The sequence below is a fragment of the Homo sapiens genome, chromosome 5 (genome assembly GCF_000001405.40).
Source record: "Homo sapiens chromosome 5, GRCh38.p14 Primary Assembly".
NCBI lineage: Eukaryota > Metazoa > Chordata > Mammalia > Primates > Hominidae > Homo > Homo sapiens.
The window spans coordinates 65,483,250-65,505,335 of NC_000005.10; the positions used below are offsets into that span (position 1 = coordinate 65,483,250).

Consider the following 22,086-nt stretch of genomic DNA (forward strand, 5'->3'; position numbering starts at 1 on the left):
CTTTCTGAATACCAGCTCTTAAATATCAAGCTTCTGCTAACATTATTGCCCATTTGATTTTTTTTTTTCTTCCTACGCCGGAGGTAGTAGGTGTAATTCTTCTGGTGAATCTATGAATAGTTGGCTAAAAGGAGGCATGAATCAGACTGAGAACGTCCAAGAATACAGTTATTTCAATTCTTCTTCAAGGGTTGAAAGTGGAAAGCATCTGTCCACAGAGTAAATAGTCCTCATCCTGACCTTAATCAGTAGTATCTGGCTAAAAGCCATTTAAAATGTAGAAATCTGTTCAATAGTGGGCATTGAGTTTTAAATAAAGATGATTCATATGTATGTATGTATGTGTGCGTATTTGTATGTGTATATATATGTGTGTACATATATGTGAAATACATGAGGTAGCAAAATATAGCAATAATTGTAAACACCAAAAATAAGAAAAGTAGGCATCAAATGACTATTTAAATAGTGTTGAACCTTAACCTTCCTTAATTTTTCAAGTACTGGCAGTAAATAGGGACAGCCAGCACACACACAAAAAATAAAGGTATGAGCAGTAAACATCTATATAAGCTCTGAAAAGATTTTACCCTCAACTAAGATAAACTGCCCTACAAAGTAGCAGCTTGTAGAGGAGCTTACTTAGTGGGAGTGGACTTTGGCTAATTACTTATTCAAAGAGTGCCATCCTGTGTCTAAACAGAGTAATGAAATTTTTCCAACAGATTCTGTCTCCAAGTTGATTGGGTCAAGAATACTGTGAATAATTGGTGAAAATTGATTAGGGTGGGAAATGGCGAACTGTCAATTTAACTTTATATATGTGTATATATATGTGTTTGTGTAAATGTTTTAACTGCATTGCAGAAAATTTCAAACATATACAAAAGTAAAAAAAAAAACAGTATAATGAACACTCATGTAGCCATCATCCAGTTTCAAGTGTCCAAGTGTGACCAACTTTGTTTCATCTATCATTTCATCAGATATCGTTTCATTATTTCCCTGTATTTCTAAAAGTACTAAAAAAATATACACCACTATTATTCTTAAAACATTAATAACTCATGTCATCAAATATTGTACTCAGATTTCCCAATTGCAAAAAGGGCTTTAAAAAATGCCTTTTTATTAGAATCAAGATCCATACATTGCAATGGCTCCATCTTTTCTTAATAAACTTTTAATTGAAAATATTCATGCAGAAAAATGTATAATTACATAGTTTGATGACAAGTGTCCAGTCTAATGAATTTTCACAAGTCAACTGGCCCATGTAACCGCCATTCTCTTGTCTCTTTTTAAAATTTTTATTATCTATTTACTTATTTAAATTGACTAATAAAAAATACATATATTTTAGCTGGAACTACAGGCATGAACCACCATCCCCAGCTAAGTTTTTATTTTTGTAGAGATAGGGTCTCCCTGTTGCCCAGGCTGGTCACGAACTCAGCCTCAAGTGATCCTCCTGTGTCCGGAATTTGGTGGGTTCTTGGTCTCACTGACTTCCAGAATGAAGCTGCGGACTCTCAGGTGAGTGTTACAGTTCTTAAAGGCAGCGTGTCCGGAGTTTGTTCCTTCTGATGTTCAGATGTGTTCGGCCTTCTGGTGGGTTCGTGGTCTCGCTGGCTCAGGAGTGAAGCTGCAGACCTTCGCTGTGAGTGTTACAGCTCATAAATGCAGTGTGGACCCAAACAGTGAGCAGCAGCAAGATTTACTGCAAAGAGCGAAAGAACAAAGCTTCCACGGTGTGGAACGGGACCCGAGCAGGTTGCCACTGCTGGCCCAGGCAGCCTGCTTTTATTCTCTTATCTGGCCCCACCCACATCCTGCTGATTGGTAGAGCCCAGTGGTCTGTTTTGACAGGGTGCTGATTGGTGCGTTTACAATCCCTGAGCTAGACACAAAGGTTCTCCACCTCCCCACCAGATTAGCTAGATACAGAGTGTCCACATAAAGGTTCTCCAAGGCCCCACCAGAGTAGCTAGATACAGAGTGTCTATTGGTGCATTCACAAACCCTGAGCTAGACACAGGGTGCTGATTGGTGTGTTTACAAACCTTGAGCTAGATACAGAGTGCCCATTGGTGTATTTACAATCCCTTAGCTAGACAAAAAGGTTCTCCAAGTCCCCACCAGACCCAGGAGCCCAGCTGGCTTCACCCAGTGGATCCCGCACCGGGGCTGCAGGTGGAGCTGCCTGCCAGTCTCGCCCCTTGTGCCCGCACTCCTCGGCCCTTGGGTGGTTGACTGGGCGCCCTGGAGCAGCGGGCAGTGCTCGTCGGGGAGGCTCAGGCAGCACAGGAGCCCACGGAGGCCGGGGGGGAGGCTCAGGCGTGGCAGGCTGCAGGCCCCAGCCCTGCCCTGCGGGAAGGCAGCTAAGACCCCGCGAGAAATTGAGCACAGCAGCTGCTGGCCCAGGTGCTAAGCCCCTCACTGCCCGGGGCCAGTGGGGCCGGCGGGCTGCTCCGAGTGCAGGGTCTGCCGAGCCCACGCCCACCCGGAACTCGCACTGGCCTGCAAGCACCGCACGCAGCGCCGGTTCCCGCCTGCACCTCTCCCTCCACACCTCCCCGCAAGCTGAGGGAGCCAGCTCTGGCCTTGGCCAGCCCAGAAAGGGGCTCCCACTGTGCAGCGGCGGGCTGAAGGGCTCCTCAAGTGCCGCCAAAGTGGGAGCCCAGGCAGAGGAGGCGCCCAGATCGAGCAAGGGCTGTGAGGACTGCCAGCAGCTGTCACCTCTCACGCCCACCTCGACCTCCCAAAGTGGTGGATTTTAAGCATCAGCCACTGTACCCAGCCACTAAATCTATTAAATCTTGTTTCCCCTTCTTCTTTTTCTTGCAATATAAATCCTATATAAACAACTTGCCTTTTTTTTTTTTTTTTTTTTGAGGCGGAGTCTCACTGTGTAGCCCAGGCTGAAGTGCAGTGGTGCGATCTCGGCTCACTGCAAGCTCCGCCTCCTGGGTTCATGCCATTCTCCTGCCTCAGCCTCCCGAGTAGCTGGGACTACATGCGCCCGCCACCACGCACGGCTAATTTTTTGTATTTTTAGTAGAGAAGGGGTTTTACAGTGTTAGCCAGGATGGTCTCAATCTCCTGACCTCATGATCCGCCCATCTCGGCCTCCCAAAGTGCTGGGATTACAGGCATATCTTGCCATTTTTAATACCGTATTTAGCACTTCTGTTACCATGGAAATGTATGTACTATAGCCATTCATTTTTTTCTTCATAAACTAAACACTGAATTTTAGTTGCAGTAAAAATTCTTGAAAATTATTACAGAGATCAATTTTTTCTCTTTCAAAACTTTTCACTCCAGCTTTTCTTTTCCTTCTTCGTTTAAGAAATGAAGATTATGGGCAGAATAGAGTTGACAGGAAACTCCTTCGTCACATCTAAAAAAAAAAAAAAAAAAAAGCTAGCAGTCTTTAGAAAACTGATATACTTAAGTGAACCCCATTCAGGAAACCAAAGGTGAAATAAGTGGAAATTGGTGAGGGGAAGAAATTTGTTTACATGTATATATTTCAAAAACCAAAAAATAGAAGCTATATTAGTCAGGGTTATCTAGAGGGACAGAACTAATAGGATAGCTGTATATATGAAGGAGAGTTTATTAAGGAGTATTGACTCACACGATCATAAGGTGAAATTCCACAATAGGCCATCTGCAAGCTGAGAAGCAAGGAAGCCAGTTGAAGTCCCAAAACTTCAAAAGTAGCGAAGCCAACAGTGCAGCCTTCAGCCTTTGACCAAAGGTCCAAGGGCCTCTGGCAAACTACTGGTGTAGGTCCAAGAGTCCAAAAGCTGAAGAACTTGGAGTCTGATGTTTGAGGGCAGGAAGCATCCAGCACAGGAGAAAGATGAGGCTGGAAGACTCAGCCAGTCCAGTACTTCCATGTTCTTCTGCCTGCTTTTATTCTATCCATGCTGGCAGCTGATTAGATTGTGCCCACCCAGCTTGAGGGTGGGTCCTCCTCTCGCAGTCCGCTGACTCAAATGTTAATCTCCTTTGGCAACACCCTCACAACACAGCCAGGAACAATACTTTGCATCCTTCAATCCAATCAAGTTGACACTCAATATTAACCATCAGAAGTCTACCTTTTGTCAACTTGAACGCATATACATCTCCTGAAATCATACATAATCTTCAAATAAAGACAATAATAAGGTCATAATTATGCCTAACATAATACAGCTATCCCTATCCTTTGTAAAGCTGGAAGCACATTAATCCTTAAACTAAATGCTATTACATAAAGTTACCACTTAAATGCTGATATGAAGTCAATAAATTTTATGTCACATGATAAAGGAAAAAGGAAAATGAAGATATTTTCTTAGACAAACTGTATACATGCATAAACATGTTCTTAACGAAATAAGGAGGAAATACTCATGAGAATTACAGTTCTCATTTCTGCAACTGGTAATGGTGGTCATAGTCAGTACTGATGACAACCTTGTTCTACTACCCATTCTGTATTCCCTGTGTCTCTTCAGCAAGCACCTCAGCAGGTTGTGGTTTTGTACCTGGTAGAGTGACCCAAACCTTCATTCCGGAGGGGTATGGGTCATTTTTAGTCCTGCTTGGATTGGGTTGTTGTAGTTTCCCATTGACCTTAATCACTGGGCATGGTAATACTAAGAGAGGCCCTAAAGGATCTCCTGTATTCCATGCATACTCTTCCTTACCTCCATCAGGTAAGGAAGAGTAGACTGATTTCAAGATGAGTAGTAGACTGATTTCATCTTGATAGTCCAAGCCAATCACCCCAGGCAACACTGTAACTCCCTTCTTAGCCTGCTGACTTAAAGGTAGGAGGAGCTCAAAGTGTCCAGGTGGTAATATTAACTTCCAGTTTAATGGAATCATTGTTGTGTGTCCTGGTGGCAGCACTCTCCACTCTGGACCTAAGACTTTTAGGCCAGCAGAACGTAATGTTGCGGGAACAGGAAGCAAAAATTTTTCTAATGGGCCACTAGGGGTGATGGTGAGTGGTGCCACTTCCACTTCCACCCCTTGATTCCTGGACCCGTGAATCCTGGCTATGGGAGAAACTGTACCATATATTGGACACTGATTCAGAGCATACACAGCCTTCTGGAGAACTCTGCGCCAGCCCTGCAAAGTATTGTCACCTAGTTGATGTTGTAATTGTGACTTCAAAAGGCCATTCCACCGTTCTATCAATCCAGCTGCTTCAAAATGATAAGGAGAAGACCAGTGAATTCCAAGAGCATGAACATACTGCTGCACTTCTTTAGCTGTAAAGTATGTGCCTTGGTCAGAGGCAATGCTATGCAGAATACCATGATGGTGGATAAGGCATTCCATGCAGGATAGGCAAACGCATATCTGGAGTAAGTGTCTATTCTGGTGAGGACAAACCGCTGCCCTTTCCATGATGGAAGAGGTCCAATATAATCAACCTGCCACCAAGTAGCTGGCTGATCACCCCAAGGAATGGTGCCATATCAAGGGCTCAGTGTTGGTCTCTGCTGCTGGCAAATCAGGCACTCAGCAGTGGTCATACATAGCCAGGTCAGCCTTGATGAGTGGAAGTCCATGTTACTGAGCCCGTGTGTAACCTCCATCCCTGCCACCATGGCCACTTTGTTCATGGGCCCATTGGGTGATAACAGGGGTGGCTGGGGAAAGACGTTGAGTGGTGTCCACAGAATAAGTCACCCAATCCACTTGATTTTTAAAATCCTCCTCTGCTGAGGTCACCTTTGGTGAGCACTCATAAGAGATACAAATATAGTTTCTGACCACTCAAAAAGAGAGGTCCATCCACATACCTCTTCCCCAAATTTCTTCATCACCAATTTTCCAATCATGCTTGTTCCAAGTTCCTGACCATCCGGCCAAATCATCTGCTACAGCCCATGAATCAGTATATAATCGCATATCTGGCCATTTCTCATTTCATGCAAAGTCCACAACCAGGTGCACTGCTCGAAGTTCTGCCCACTGGGAAGATTTCCCTTCACCACTGTCCATCAGGGATGTTCTAGAAAGCAGCTGTAGTGCTGCAGCTGTCCACTTTTGGGTGGTGCTTGCGTATCATGCAGAACCATCTGTAAACCAGGCCCTTGTCTTCTCTTCCTTTTTCAACTGTTCACAGGGAGCTCCCCATGAGGCCACTGGTGCAGGCTGGGGGAAAGAGAGCTAGATGGCAGGAGCAGGGACCATGGGCATTTGAGCCACTTGCTCACATAACTTACTTGTGCCCTCAGGACTTGCTCAAGCCTGATCACATATATACCACTTCGATTTGATGATGGAATGCCGCTGTGCATGCCCCACTTTATGGCTAGATGGGTCAGAAAGCACGAGTTTATGACAGGCAGTTTAGGTTACATGGTGACTTGATGGCCCATAGTCAAACATTCAGTTTCTACCAAAGCCCAGTAACCAGCCAAGAACTGTCTCTCAAAAGGAGAGTAGTTATCTGCAGAAGATAGGTCCTTGCTCCAAAATCCTAGAGGCCTCTGCTGTGATTCACCTATGGGGGCCTGCTAAAGGCTCCAAATAGCATCCCTATCTGCCACTGACATCTCAAGCACCATTGAATCTGCTAGGTAATATGGCCCAAGTGGCACAGCAGCTTTCACAACAGCCTAGACCTGTTGCAGAGCCTTCTCCTGTTCTGGACCCTACTCAAAACTGGCAGCCTTTTAGGTCACTCGATAAATGGGCTGGAGTAACACACCAGAATGAGGAATGTATTGCCTCCAAAATCCAAATAGACCCACTAGGCGTTGTCCCTCTTTCTTGGTTGTAGGAGGGGGCAAATGCAGCAACTTATCCTTCACCTTAGAAGGAATATCTTGAGAGGCCCCACACCACTGGACCACTAGAAATTTTACTGAGGTAGAAGGTCCCTGAATTTTAGTTAATTTCCCATCCCCTGGCATGCAAATGTCTCATCAATAAGTCCAGTGTGTTGGCTACTTCTTGCTCACTAGATCCGGTCACATACTGTCATCAATGTAATGAACTAATGAACTGGTGTGATATCCTGCGGAAGGGAAAAGTGATCAAGATCTCTGCAAACAAGATTATGACACAAACCCGGAGAGCTGATATACCTCTGAGGTACGACAGTGAAGGTATATTGCTGGTCTTGCCAGCTGAAGGCAAATTGCTTCTGGTGGGTCTTACAAACAGGAATGGGGAAAAAGGCACTTGCCAAATCAATGGCTGCATACCAGGTACCAGGAGATGTATTAATTTGTCCAAACAATGAAACCACATCTGACACAGCAGCTGCAATTGGAGTCACCACTTAGTTAAGCTTACGATAATCCACTGTCATTCTCCAAGATCCATCTCTCTTCTGCACGGGCCAAATAGGAGAGTTCGTCTTTCAAGTCCTTGATGGTGGCACTAATCTCTGCACTCCCTTCAGGGATGCGATATTGGTTTTTGTTGTTGTTTTTTGTTTGTTTTTACAATATTGTTTTTGATTTACTATTTATCTAGGTAGAGGCAGCTCTAATGGCTTCCATTTGGCCTTTCCCACCATAATAGCCTTCATCCTACCAGTCAGGGAGCCAATGTGGGGATTCTGCCAGCTGCTAAGTATGTCTATGCCAATTATGCATTCTGACACTGGGGAAATGACCACAGGATGAGTCCAGGGACCCACTGGACTCACTATAGTGGGACCTGAGCTAAAACTCCATTAAGTACCTGACCTCCATAAGCCCCTACTTTAACTGGAGGACCACAATGATGTTTTGGGTCCCCTGGAATAAATGTCAGCTCAGAGCCAGTATCCAGTAAGTCCCTGAAAAGTCTGATCATTCCCCTTTCCCCAGTGCAGTTACTCTGGTAAAAGGCCAGAGGTCTCCTTGGGGAAGGATGGGAGAAAGATTAACAGCATAAATTGTCAGTAGTGTAGTGGGGTCCTTCCTCAGGGCACCCAGGCTCCCCATCATTCATTCCCTCCAGCTTTTCTTTCCTTTCTTCATTTAATTAAGAAATGAAGATTATGGGCAGAATAGAGTTGACAGCAAACTCCTTAGTCACACCCCCAAAAAAAGTTAGAGGAGTCTTTAGAAAACTAATAAATTTAAGTGAACCCTGTTCAGGAAACCAAAGATGGAATAAATGGAAATTGGGGACAGGAAGAAATTTGTTTATATGTAGGTATATATTTCAGAAACTGAAAACTAGAAGCAAAGACAGAAGAATTTGATAGCCAAAGAACAGGGATTGAGGAATTTATAGAGGTAAGAACAAGCCCTTAAAAATTTTAATACATTAATCTATAAATTAAACTTAAATGTTTAAGTTGAAAACCAAGCCATTTCTTAAAATTAGACTGCTTGTGTTTTCAGAAAAATGACATGAAGAATTCTGATTATACACTTGCTTGGAATTAATTGCTACATTGAAGCAGGTGACTCTCTCTAAAGATGATGAATTATTAATTCAACTCCTGAGATATTAAAACTAGATGTAACACATTAAAACCAAATTTCCATGGTGACTCATACCTGAAATCTCTTGCTTTGGGAAGCTGAAGTGGGAATTGCCGGCTTGAGGCCAGGAATTTGAAACGAGAGTGGGCAATAGCAAGACACTGATTCTACAAAAAAAAAATTTTAAAAATAAGCTGGGTATAAAAAAAAAATTAGCTGGGTATATTGGTGCACACCTGTAGTCCTAGCTACTTGAGAGGCTGAGGTAGGAGGATTGCTTGAGCCCAGGAGTTTGAGGTTACAATGAGTTATGATGCTGCCAATATACTCCAGCCTGGGTGACAGAGCAAGAACTTGTTTCAAAAAAAATAAAATGTTAAAACCAAATTCCATATACTTTTTTTTTTTTTTTTTTGTGACGGAGTCTCACTCTGTCGCCCAGGGTGTGATGTCAGCTCACTGCGACCTCTGCCTCCCAGGTTCAAGCAATTCTCATGCCTCAGTCTCCCGAGTAACTGGGATTACAGGCTCATGCCACCATGCCTGGCTAATTTTTCTATTTTCAGTAGAGACGGGGTTTCACCATGTTGGCCAGGTTGGTCTCAAACTCCTGACCTCAGGTGATCCACCTGCCTCTGCTTCCTAAAGTGCTAGGATTACAGGCGTGAGCCACCACGCCTGGCCAAATTGCATATACTTTCAATATGATACAGTTTACTCCTTCAATACGATGGGATTTGAATCTCATATAGTAAAAATAAATATTTTCTAATTATTGTAGAATTTCTTAAATAAGTGCAAAGACTCAAAGCATAAAGGAAAAGACTGATGAGTTTTACTTTATTAAATGAAAATTAAAAGATCATTAAAAAGTGAAAAATATAAACCAGAGATTGGGAGGATTTGCAATATATATAATTGAAACAGAATAAATATCTCTCATTAAATAACTCACAAATCTATGAGAGACAGACCAAAAAAATTGGAAAATGCCATAAATAGGCAAGTCACAGGAGAAAACAAGCTAAGACCAATAAATAAATAATGAAGTGCTCAATCTCACTAGCAATCCTAACTATGTGGTATGCAGTGGAGTACTCCACAATGAAGTTACTCTTCAGCCATAAAAAAGAATGAGATCCTATCATTGGCAACAATATAAATGGAACAGGAAGTCATTATGTCAAGTGAAATAAGCCAGGCACAGAAAGACAAACTTCAAACATTCTCACTTAATTGTGGAAGGTAAAAATTAAAACAATTGAACTCATGGAGACAGAGAATAGAAAGACGGTTACCAGAGGCTGGGAAGGATAGTGGGGGGCAGGGGGTTGAGGAGAAGTGGGGATGGTTAATGGGTACAAAATAATAAAGAAATGCATGGCTGGGCATAGTGGCTGTAATCCCAGCACTTTGGGAGGCCAAGGTGGAAGATTGCTTAAGCCCAGGAGTTCAAGACCAGCCTGGGCAACATATGGGGACCCTGTCTCTACAAAACATAATTTAAAATAAAATTTTTAAAAAAGAATACATAAGACCTAGTATTTGCTAGTTCAAGACCTAGTATTTGCTAGGGTGATTACAGTCAAATATAATTTAATGGTAGATTTTTAAATAACCAAAAAAGTATAATTAGATTGTTTGTAACACAAGAGAGAAATGCTGGAAGTGATGGATATCACATTTACCCTGATGTGATTATTACACATTGTATGCCTGTATCAAAATATCTCATGTGCCCTATAAATATATACACCTACTATGTGCCCATAAAAATAAAAAATAAAAAATAAATTAAAAAATAAAAACAGAATGAAAGATATAGAAAATAAACGTGTATTTTTTCAGTTTTGAGAAGGCAAGCTAATTAGAAAAAAAAACTTAATTCCTCATCTTATGTCATTTGCCAAAAATCCTTCTAAATATACATAAAATGAGCAAACAGATGAAAATTAATTATTGATATGAGGGTTAGAACCTGGGATCCAATCTCAAAATTAGTCATATTCCTGAAAAATGGATTCAGAACAACTGTACAAAAACAGACAAATACATACCAGAAAAAAACCTTCCTGAATTTAAGAATGACTTAAATTAGAAGATTAAAAGTTTCATTCTTTTCCTGGTAAAATCAATGTAAAGAAACCAAAACCTAGACATATCCTGGTAAAATGTTTAAATGTTTAAAAGAAAAAAAAAGCTAAAAAATTGTTTGTTGAAAAAAAAAGAGAGAGACATGAGACCATCATTCAAGAGTAAAAAGTAGACTTTTCATAAAACAAAAAGTCATACGCTTTTTACCACAGAACAGAAAGACATTCTATGATGTGTAAAGGCTTAACATCCTTCCTTCCTTCATTCATTCATTTATTATTTTATGCAGGCAATATTTATTGAATACTGACTATAAGATATGTATTTGAAAGTAATTATTGAAGGCATATATCAGCAGTCTAAGTGATATAAAAAATAACAACTCAAAAATGGGAGAAATTGACATATAAAAGGACCAGCAATAAGAAAAAAAATCAATTTAACAGAGTTAAGATTAAATCACAGTTACAAAAATAATTACAAAAGGCTGGGTGCAGTGGCTCACGCCTGTAATCCCAGCACTTTGGAAGGCTGAGGTGGGTGAATCACTTGAGGCCAGGAATTCGAGACCAGCCTGGCCAACATGGTGAAACTCCATCTCTACTAAAATTGTAAAATTAGCTTGGCATGGTGGCAGACGTCTGTAATCCTAGCTACCTCAGGAGGCTGAGGCAGGAGAATCACTTGAACTTGGGAGGTGGAGGTTACAATGAGCCAAGATCATGCCACTGGCACTCCAGCCTGGGAGACAGAGTGAGACTTTGTCTCAAAAAAAAAAAAAAAACACAAACACACACACACACACACACACACAAAAACAATAATTACAAAAGTATATGCAAAATAAAATTGGAAGGTTAAAAATTAAAGCTTGGGCAATGATTTCTTAGGGAAATACTGCCACCCAAACCAGGGGTGACAATATTAATTTCAAATAAAGTAGAGTCAAAATAAAAACTACTACAAAGGACCAGGAGAATCATAGTCCTTTACAATGATCAACAATCCCGAACTGTTATGCACTAAATAACACAGCATCAAAATACTTAAAATAGAAACTCTTACAAACTCCAAGGAGAAATTGATAGACATGCAACCATAGTAAGCTTCTTGATAAATCAGGTACACTTTTAAAATAATGTGATAAATTTCAGGATTAAATAACTGCATTACAAATGAAGCCATTAAAAAATCTAGGGTAGCCTGGTTCAGTAGTGTGTCACTGTAGTCCTAACTTCTTGGGAGGCCAAGGCAGGAGGATCGCTTGTGGCCAGGAGTTTGAGGCTGTAGTGTGCTATGATCATGCCTGTGAATAGCCACTGCACTCCCAGCCTAAGCAACATAATGAGGCCCTGTCTGTAAAAACATGGGGGTGGGGGGACAGAAGAAAATATAGGTGAAGAATTAACTATCTGGGAATAGGTAGACCTAAAACAATGGAATAGACAACAAAGGGAAAGAATGACAGATCCACCTATATTGTTTGAATATTAGTAAATAAAAAGAATAAACAAAATTAAAAGGTTAACGGCATACTGGAAAAAACTACAACAAATAGGATAGACAAAAACTAAATATATAAAGTTTCCTTATAAAAAAATATCAAAAGCTCTAGCTCCATGCTAGTGCTGTCCAGTTGAACTTTCCACTATGATGGAAACGTTCTGAATCTGCACTGTCCAATATGGTAGCCACTACTCACAAGAGCACTTGAAATGTAGCTAGTGCCAATGTTGAAATGATAATATTTGGGGTGTATGTAGTTAAATAAATTTTATTAAGATTTTTTATTACTAAAATAATTTTATCATTAAAATTTATTTCACCTGTTTCTTTTTACTTGTTTAATGAGGCCACAAGAAAATTTATTATAAAATTACATACACAGTTTGCATTAGGTGTCTATTCAGCACTGTTCTAGAATAACGATCAAGGAAACAAAAAATTCACAAAAGAAGAAATACAAACAGCCAGTAATCTATGAAAAAAAGTTCCATCTCACTTATAATCCAATAAATATAAATTAAAACAAGATTTTTATAATCAAATAGACAAAATTTTAAAAAATACTCATTGTTGGCAAGGGTTCCATTAAATGGGCACTCTCATACACTGCTGGTGGTGGTATAAATTGCTTCAACCTTTCTGGAAAGGCATTTGGCAATATTAATCAAGAGCCTTAGTGGCCAGGCAAGGCGGCTCATGCCTGTAATTCCAGCACTCTGGGAGGCCAAGGTGAGTGGATTGCTTGAGCCCAGAAGTTTTAGACCAGTCTGGGCAACATGGCAAAACCCCGTCTCTACAAAAAACACAAAAAATTAACCAGGCATGGTGGGGCACACCTGTAGTCCCAGCTACTTAGGAGGTTAAGGTGGGAGGATCACTTGAGCCAGGGAGGTTGAGGTTGCAGTGAGCCATGATTATACCACTGCATTCCAGCCTGGGCTATAGAGACCTTGTCTCAAACAAAACAAAACAAAACAAAACACTTATACTCTTTGACCTAGTGTCTCTATTTCTAGGAATTTACATAAAGACATTGATCACGGTGCTATTTCTAAGAGTGAAAGACTGGGAACAACCTCAATAGCCAATAATAGAAAAATTGTTAAAATAAATGATGGTACTCCTACTTTGTTAATAATCCAGTAGCCTTAAAAATGTTTTTTCTAATATTACCTAGTTATGAGAAAAATACAACAAAGAGTAAAAGAAGCAGAGCTCATTATATAGTATAATCATAAAGAACATTATAAGCATATACATAAAATGCATACGTAAACACTTTACTTCATAAAATTAGGATCATAATTTCATATTTTCTAGCACATGTCATACAGTTAGGATCAAGGTTAAGTAATAAAAAAAGGTTACAAGTGGTTATCTCTGGGTGGTGGGGTTTTTAATTTTCATCTTTATACTTTGCTGTTTGTTTTTTTTCCAAAGTATTTATGAGTATATTTTTACTATAAAAATAAAAAGGCTGGGTGCGATGGCTCACGTCTGTAATCCCAGCACTTTGGGACGCCGAGGTAGGTAGATCACAAGGTCAGGAGTTCAAGACCAGCCTGGCCAAGATGGTGAAACCCCATCTCTACTAAAAAAAATACAAAAAAATTAGCCAGGCGTGGTGGCGGGTGCCTGTAATCCCAGGTACTCGGGAGGCTGAGGCAGAGAATTGATTGAACCCATGAGGCGGAGCATTGCAGTGAGCTAAGATCACGCCACTGCACTCCAGCCTGGGCGACAAGAGTGAGACTCCGTCTCCAAAAAATAAAAATAAAATAAAAATAGTGGCCAAGTGCAGTGGCTGACGCCTGTAATTCCAGCACTTTGGGAGGCTGAGGCGGGCGGACTACCTGAGGTCAGGAGTTCAAGACCAGCCTGGCAAACATGGTGAAACCCCATTTCTACTAAAAATACAAAAATTAGCTGGGCATGGTGGCACATGCTTGTAATCCCAGCTACTCGGGTGGCTAAGGCAGGAGAATCGCTTGAACCCGGGAGATGGAGGTTGCAGTGAGCCAAGATTGCCCCCACTGCACTCCAGCCTAAGCGACAAAGTGGGACTCCCTTTCAAAAAAAAAAGAAAAAAATTAGTTCCTCACGGGCTGTTAGAAGCAGTCACCCTTAGTGATAAGAAACTACAATATGGACAATCACAACATGGCAGTTGACCTCATCAAAGTAAGCAAAGGAGAAAGAGCAACAGAATGACAGCAAGATAGGAGTCACAGTCTTTTGTAACCTAGTCTCAGAAGTGATGTCCCTTTGTTCTATTGATTCATTACAAACAAGTCATAAGTTCCCCGGTCCACACCTAATGGGAAGGGGATAACACAAAGCCAGGGATACCAGGAGGTGAAAATTATTGAACAGGGTTTTAGAAGTCTGTCTACTGTAAATATAAATGAACGAAATGTTCCAATAAAAAGGCAGGACAGTGGCTCACGCCTGTAATTCCAGCACTTTTTGAGGGTGAGGTGGGAGGCTCACTTAAGCCCAGGAGTTCAAGGCTGCAATGAGCTATGATTGTGCCATTGCACTGCAGCCTGGGCAACTGAGCAAGACCCTATTTCAAACAAACAAATAAATAAATAAATAAAATATACACATATATATTCAAAAGTCTATTTAAGTTAGAATAAAAACAATATAGTGTGGAGTTTGTAACATCTGTCAAAATAAAAGATCTGACAATAACAAAAATGCCAAGAAGGAAGAAATTGAATTTCAGCATTATAAATTTCTTATACTGTATGTATAATTGGTATGAATTGTTTTTCTAGTATTTTCTGTTGGATTTTGCATCTACGTTCATAAGACTAGGCTACAATTTCCTTACATTATCATTTGCTACCCTAGCCTAGAAATAATTTACTTTTAAAATATCTTTAATAATTTCTGAAACATTTTTATATATTATATATCTCTCTAATGTTATGTAAATATATATCAATATACACATATAGATATATTCCCAACCTTCAAGGAATACATCTAGGGATTGAGGGCATATCTCTTTATATATGTTTTTTGTACGTGATTGCTTTATTTATTACATTTACATAACACTTATGTAACTTACCATAGTCTACTGGTATTGACATTTTATCAGTTTGAATGAAGTAAAATCCTACCTTCCTTTAAACCTCTTTACCTTTCCCCAGTTACAATCGTCTTAAATATTTCCTCTACATCACTGAGAATCAAATCATATATTTTGTTTCAATCATGGACACATAACTTAGAAAATTCAAGAAGAAAACTATTGTATTTGGTCATATATCTTCCTTCTCTTTCTTTTTTCTTTCTTTTCTTTTTTTCTTTCTTTTTCTTTTTTCTTTTTTTTTTTTTAGAGACAGGGTCTGATTCTGTCTCTTTTTTGAGACAGGGTCTCACTCCACCCAGGGTGGAGTGCAGTGGCATTGATCATGGCTCACAATAACCTCAAATTCCTGGGTCAGGCAATCTTGCTGCCTTAGGCTCCTTAGTAACTAGGACTACAGGCACACGACACCACGCCTGGCTAATTTATTTTTTGTAGAGACAGAGTCTCGCCATGTTGCCCAGACTGGTCTTGAGAACAGGCTTCAACCTCCCTAAGTGTTGGGATTACGGGTGTGAGTCAACATACCCGGTCTTGTATTTGGTCACATTTTTGCTCTTTCCTGTTGTCCTTCTTTCCTAATATTCCAAGATTCCTTCTTTGATGATTTCCTTTATGTTTCAGGACTTTCTTTTTTTAAATAGAGAATGAGGCCTCCCTTTATTGCCCAGGGTTATCTTGAACTCCAGGCTTCAAGCTGTCCACCTGGCCTCAGCTTGGCAGGCCTCAGTCTCCCAAAGTGTTGGGATTACAGTCGTGAGCCACTGCACCCAGCCAGGAACTTTCTTTAGCCTTCTTTTAGGGTAGGTCTGCTAGCAACAAACTCTCTTAGTTTTCCTTCATCTAGTATGTATTTATTTCCCCCTCATTCCTAAGGGGTAATTTTACCAGATATATGATATCTGACAGGGCTGACAGTTCGTTGAGCAATTGAAAAACATTAAGCCACTTCCTTCTGGCCTCCTCGGTGCTTGATGAAAATCTACTGTCCTCCCAATTGTTTTTCCCCATAGGTAAGGTATCCTTTCTCTCTCAATGCTTTTAAGACTTTTTGCCTTCTCTTTTCAGTTTACTTACAATGTGTCTTGGTGTAGACTTCTTTAGGTTTATCCTTTCCTGAGCTGGGGTTCTCTCAGCTTCTTGAATCTGTAGGTTTATGCTTTTTACCAAATTTGGGAAATATTCAGCCACTATTTTAAAACCCACCCACTTTCTCCTCTTTCTGGGACTTTGATGACAAAAATATTAGATCTTTTTTTTTTTTTTAATTTTTTTTTTTTTATTATACTCTAAGTTTTAGGGTACATGTGCACATTGTGCAGGTTAGTTACATATGTATACATGTGCCATGCTGGTGCGCTGCACCCACTAACGTGTCATCTAGCATTAGGTATATCTCCCAATGCTATCCCTCCCCCCTCCCCCGACCCCACCACAGTCCCCAGAGTGTGATATTCCCCTTCCTGTGTCCATGTGATCTCATTGTTCAATTCCCACCTATGAGTGAGAATATGCGGTGTTTGGTTTTTTGTTCTTGCGATAGTTTACTGAGAATGGTGGTTTCCAGTTTCATCCATGTCCCTACAAAGGACATGAACTCATCATTTTTTATGGCTGCATAGTATTCCATGGTGTATATGTGCCACATTTTCTTAATCCAGTCTATCATTGTTGGACATTTGGGTTGGTTCCAAGTCTTTGCTATTGTGAATAGTGCCGCAATAAACATACATGTGCATGTGTCTTTATAGCAGCATGATTTATAGTCCTTTGGGTATATACCCAGTAATGGGATGGCTGGGTCAAATGGTATTTCTAGTTCTAGATCCCTGAGGAATCGCCACACTGACTTCCACAATGGTTGAACTAGTTTACAGTCCCACCAACAGTGTAAAAGTGTTCCTATTTCTCCACATCCTCTCCAGCCCCTGTTGTTTCCTGACTTTTTAATGATTGCCATTCTAACTGGTGTGAGATGATATCTCATAGTGGTTTTGATTTGCATTTCTCTGATGGCCAGTGATGATGAGCATTTCTTCATGTGTTTTTTGGCTGCATAAATGTCTTCTTTTGAGAAGTGTCTGTTCATGTCCTTCGCCCACTTTTTGATGGGGTTGTTTGTTTTTTTCTTGTAAATTTGTTTGAGTTCATTGTAGATTCTGGATATAGTGTCACAGGTCTTTGAGGCTCTGTTCATTTGATTTCATCATATTTTGTCTCTGTTAATCAGATTAAGGAATATCTATTGTTCTTTGTTTTTTCGGTTTTTTGTTTGTTTGTTTGAGATGGAATCCCACTCTGTCTCCAGGCTAGAGAGCAGTGGCGCAATCTTGGCTCGCTGCAACTTCTGCCTCCTGGGTTCAAGCAATTCTCCTGCCTCAGCCTCCCCAGTAGCTGGGACTACAGGTACACACCACCATGCCCAGCTAATTTTTGTATTTTTTGTATTTTCAGTAGAGACGGGGTTACACCATGTTGGCCAGGATGTTCTCGATCTCTTGACCTCATGATCCACCCACCTCAGCCTCCCAAAGTGCTGGGATTACAGGCGTGAACCATGGTGCCTGGCCATATCTATTGTTCTAGCTGCAACTTTGCTGATTCTTTCCTCTTGTCCTCTTCATGTTGCTATTGAGCCCATCACTGAATCTTGAATCTGGTTATTGTGCTTCTCATTTTAAACTTTTCAATATGATTCTTCTTTATATCTTCTATTTCTTTGCTGAGACTTTCTATTTTCATTTGTTTCAGGCATGTTTGCAATTGCTAAGTTTGTTTTTTTTTTTTTTTTTTTTTTTGAGACAGAGTCTCGCTCTGTCATCCAAGCTGGAGTGCAATGATGCAATCTCGCTCACTGCCACATCCACCTCCCGTGTTCCAGTGATTCTCCTACCTCTGCCTCCCTAGTAGCTGGGATTACAGGCACCCACCACCACGCCCAGCTAGTTTTTGTATTTTTAATAGAGATGGGGTTTCACCATGTTGGCCAGGCTGGTCCCGAACTCCTGACCTCATATGATCCACCTACCTTGGCCTCCCAAGATGCTGGGATTATAGGCAGGAGCCACTGCTCCTGGCCCTCTGTTTTATCTTGATGTTGCTGTATGTTGTCTTTTTTCATTAAAGTTCAGATTTTCCTAGTTCTTCGGGCATGTATTGTACCCTGGACATTTTGGTTATTATAACACTCTAGATCTTACTCAAATCTTGTTTTAGCAGGCCACCTTTGACACAATTCTGGTGGAGGGGAAATGGGGCACAGTCTCATCACTACCAGGTAGTGGTGAAAGTCCACGTTCTCTGCTCAGGCTTTTTGACACCCAGGGTAGGGAAACAGAAGTGCTTTGTGACATCTGGGCAGCTGTGGAAATTCAGCCTCTTCAAAGGCCTCCATTGACATCAGTCTGGCTAGGAAAGGAAGGAGCACCTTGTTACTGATTGCCAGGTGGCCTCCACTGATTCTATAGTCAAGAGTAGGAAGCCTCCTTACCTCTGGATGGTGGTGAAAGTTCTGACATGGCTTCCTCTAATGAACAGGGTTGCCTCTTTACTACTGGGTGGGTATGTAAGTTCAGAACCACCACATGGCCTTCTTACTGCTGGCAGGGAGGAAAGTCCTGACTCCCAACTCAGTCTTCTCTGATCACCCCAGGGGCAGGACACCATGTTATAGCTCAACAAGGGTGGAAGCTGAGGTCCACTACTTTTGGCCTTTTTGGACAGGGGTGGTGGTAGGGTGGTATTTTTTCCATGGTGTTTAGCTGCAGTAGGGTGGTTATAGTTGAAAAGTTTTCTGTCTTACTGTGTTGCCTCTTTCCTCATCCTTTTGATAGAGCAAAGTTTTGGGAAACTTTTATCTTCCATTGGTGTTTTCAAGGTTATGATCTTCTCTAGCATCCAGTCTGGTACGTATAAGGCAAAAAGAAAACTGCTGTGTCCCTCTTTGTGTCCCAAAGTCCCTAGGCAGTCTGCTGCCTTCGCTCCACTTTTCAGATATTTCCTAACATGTATATTACATATAATGTGCAAAGTTTTAAGCTACAATTAACAGGAGGAATAGAGAGGAGTGTGTCTACTCCATCTTAGTCTGAAACTAGAAGTCCTCTCTTTCCTTTAAAACATTTTCAAAATATTTATTCTCTAATATGAAGAGATATTTAAAACATTTTCAGGATATTTATTCTCTAACATGAAGAGTCTTTTTTTGTTTGTTTGGTTTGTTTTTTTAAGAAATAGGGTCTCACTCTGTCACCCAGGCTAGAGGCTAGAGTGCAGTGGTGAGATCACTGCAGCCTCAAACTATTGGGCTCTAACAATCCTCCCACATCACTGGGATTACAGGCGTCACCTACTGTGCCTGGGTTCTTAAGTCTTCTAACCAATATAAATTTTTAAATTTTATTTATTTATTTATTTATTATTTTTTGAGACAGTCTTGCTCTGTCACCCAGGCTGGAGTGCAGTGGTGCAAGCTCGGCTCACGGCAACCTCCACCTCCCAGGTTCAAGTGATTCTCCTGATTCAGCCTCCCGAGTAGCTGGAACTACAGGCACCATGCCTGGCTAATTTTTGTATTTTTAGTAGAGACAGGGTTTCACCACATTGGCCAGGTTGGTCTCAAACTCCTGACCTCAATTGATCCATCTGTCTCAGCCTCCCAAAGTGCTGGGATTACAGGTGTGAGCCACCGTGCCTGCCCACCAATGTAATATTTTTTTTTTTTTTTTTTGAGACAGAGTCTCACTCTGTCTCCTAGGCTGGATGCAGTGTCTCGATCTCAGCTCACTGCAAAATCTGCCTCCTGGGTTTAAGCGATTCTGCCTCAGCCTCCCGAGTAGCTGGGATTACAGGCACACACCACCATGCCCAGCTAATTTTTGTATTTTTAGTAGAGACGGGGTTTTGCCATGTTGGCCAGGCAAGTCTCGAAATCCTGACCTCAAGTGATCCGCCTGCCTCGGCCTCCCAGAGTGCTGTTCTGCAGGCGTGAGCCATTATGTCCGGCCTATAATTTTAAATTAGGATGAATGTCTTCTAATTGTTGATTTTAGGAGAGCTCTTTATGTATTTGAGATGTGAATTCTTTGTTGGATAGTTACCATACTTTCTCCCACTCTGTGGGTTGCCTTCTAACTCTGTCTAAAGATGTCTTCTTTTTCTACAGACAGAAATTTATAATTTAAATTGGCACATTTAAAATTTTTAAAAATATTTAGAACTTTTTCTATTATCTTTAAGATACTTTTTGTCTACTTGCTAAACTTTTTTTTTTTTTTGAGACAGAGTCTCACTCTGTCGCCCAGGCTGGAGTGCAGTGGCTTGATCTCAGCTCACTGTAACCTCTGCCTCCTGGGTTCAAGCAATTCTCTGCCTCAGCCTCCAGAGTAGCTGGGACTACAAGCACGTGCCACCACGCCTGGCTAATTTTTGTATTTTTTAGTAGAGATGGGGTTTCACCATATTGGTCAGACTGGTCTAGAACTCCTGACCTCGTGATCCGCCCACCTTGGCCTCCCAAAGTGCTGGGATTACAGGCGTGAGTCACCGTGCCCGGCCTGCTAAAAAAATTTTTTTTTTTAACAGAAAAGCCAAAAACATTGGCTTCTTTGTAATATGCAACTGTCCTGAAGCAAACACAACCCTTTGCTTGCGATCATTATACTAAGTATGAATATCATGTTCCACAGTCAAAGAACAACCAGAAAACACTTTGACCCAAATATAAGCTAAAAATAAGGGAAATCTTGTCTTATATATTTTTTTAAAAAAAACCTGGCCAGGCGCAGTGGCTCATGCCTGTAATCTCAGCACTTTGGGAGGCCAAGGTGGGGTAGATTACCTGAGGTGAGGAGTTCGAGACCAGCCTGGCTAACATGGTGAAACCCCATCTCTACTAAAAATACAAAATTAGCCGGACTTGGTGGCACATGCCTGTAATCCCAGATACTCCGGAGGCCTAGGTGGGAGAATCGCTTGAAACTGGGAGATGGGAGGTTGCAGTGGGCCAAGATCGTGCCATTGCCCTCCAGCCTGGGAGACAAGAGCAAAATTCCGTATCAAAAAAAAAAAAAAAAAAAACCCACGAGTATTTCTCTCGTAAGTTAACTTTCTACCAGATGTTTATTACTTACTTTTGCAATACTAATGTCTGAAGATATGCACTTTTGTGCATATGATATCAATGTGAAAAAATTGCTGTTTTTTTTCCCACTATGAATAGGCTAATACAAACTTTGTAACCTTGCAGGTAATTTTCCTTTAAACATATATTGTATTTTTTAATTGACTAGAGAGTTGCTCTGAAGTACGATATCCCTGTGACATCTCTTCAAGAAACACTTTTTCTTTCTAAATGTCTTTACATTCTTCTTTCCATAACTGATTTTAAATAAATTTATGTGCTCACGGCTGATTCCTTAACCCTATCCTCCCCTGGATTAACTTTTCCTCTGGTTGAAGTTATATCTGTTAACTCTTATTTTAGGGAATGTGTATGGGTGGGAAAGATTTTTAGTTTTTTATATGTCAGAAAGTTTATTTATTTATTTATTTAAAGATGGTCACTCACTGTCACCCAGGCTTCATAGAATATAGTGAATAGTTAGCTGCAACCTTGAACTCCAGGTATAACCAATCCTCTGCCTTAGCCTCTCAATTAGCTGGGACTACAGGTATGTCCCACCATATTCAGCTAATTTTTTTTTTAATTTTTATTTTTGTAGAGACAGGGTCTCACTTTGCTGCCCAGGCTACAACATTTATTTTGTCCTTATTCTTGAGTAATACTTTAGCTGGTTATGTGATTCAAGATTGATTATCCTTTTTACCCCCAGCACCAATGTCTATTGTTTCTGATGAGATATATAATTACTGTCCTTAAGTTACTATCCTTTCTCTTGGTATCTTTGAATACTTTCTCTTTAATGTGTTGTAGTT

The 22,086-nt window shown here is 40.8% G+C and overlaps 2 protein-coding genes across 7 annotated transcripts in view, besides 2 other annotated features; both read right to left on the reverse strand.

Moving 5' to 3' along the window:
* Positions 1–1,091: 1,091 nt before the first annotated feature.
* On the reverse strand, positions 1,092–8,613 carry LOC124900986 (uncharacterized). Its single transcript, XM_047417970.1, has 2 exons — positions 3,644–8,613; positions 1,092–3,403 (listed from the first exon to the last, which is right to left on the reverse strand). Exon 1 carries the CDS (start codon positions 5,416–5,418, stop codon positions 4,483–4,485), a length of 936 nt encoding a protein of 311 aa, XP_047273926.1. The 5' UTR covers positions 5,419–8,613; the 3' UTR covers positions 1,092–3,403; positions 3,644–4,482.
* Positions 1,922–2,430: an enhancer, noted in NCBI's record as "H3K27ac-H3K4me1 hESC enhancer chr5:64780998-64781506 (GRCh37/hg19 assembly coordinates)". NCBI's record gives its function as "activates a minimal SCP1, AML or CMV promoter by ChIP-STARR-seq in naive H9 embryonic stem cells {active_cell/tissue: H9 hESC(naive)}" and the evidence as "EXISTENCE:reporter gene assay evidence [ECO:0000049][PMID:30033119]".
* Positions 2,431–2,937: an enhancer, noted in NCBI's record as "H3K27ac-H3K4me1 hESC enhancer chr5:64781507-64782013 (GRCh37/hg19 assembly coordinates)". NCBI's record gives its function as "activates a minimal SCP1, AML or CMV promoter by ChIP-STARR-seq in primed H9 embryonic stem cells {active_cell/tissue: H9 hESC(primed)}" and the evidence as "EXISTENCE:reporter gene assay evidence [ECO:0000049][PMID:30033119]".
* Positions 8,614–12,374: 3,761 nt separating the features above from the next.
* The window catches only part of CENPK (centromere protein K), a 67,545-nt gene continuing 57,833 nt past the window's right edge, over positions 12,375–22,086 (reverse strand). For 4 of the 6 annotated variants that reach the window (XR_007058619.1, XR_007058617.1, XR_001742177.2 and 1 more), the window contains one exon: positions 12,375–18,558. The gene's annotated coding sequence lies outside the window, so the exon portion shown is untranslated. Of the gene's footprint in view, positions 20,309–22,086 lie in introns of all 6 variants that reach the window. The other 2 variants (XR_007058618.1, XR_007058615.1) reach the window with 1 other exon arrangement.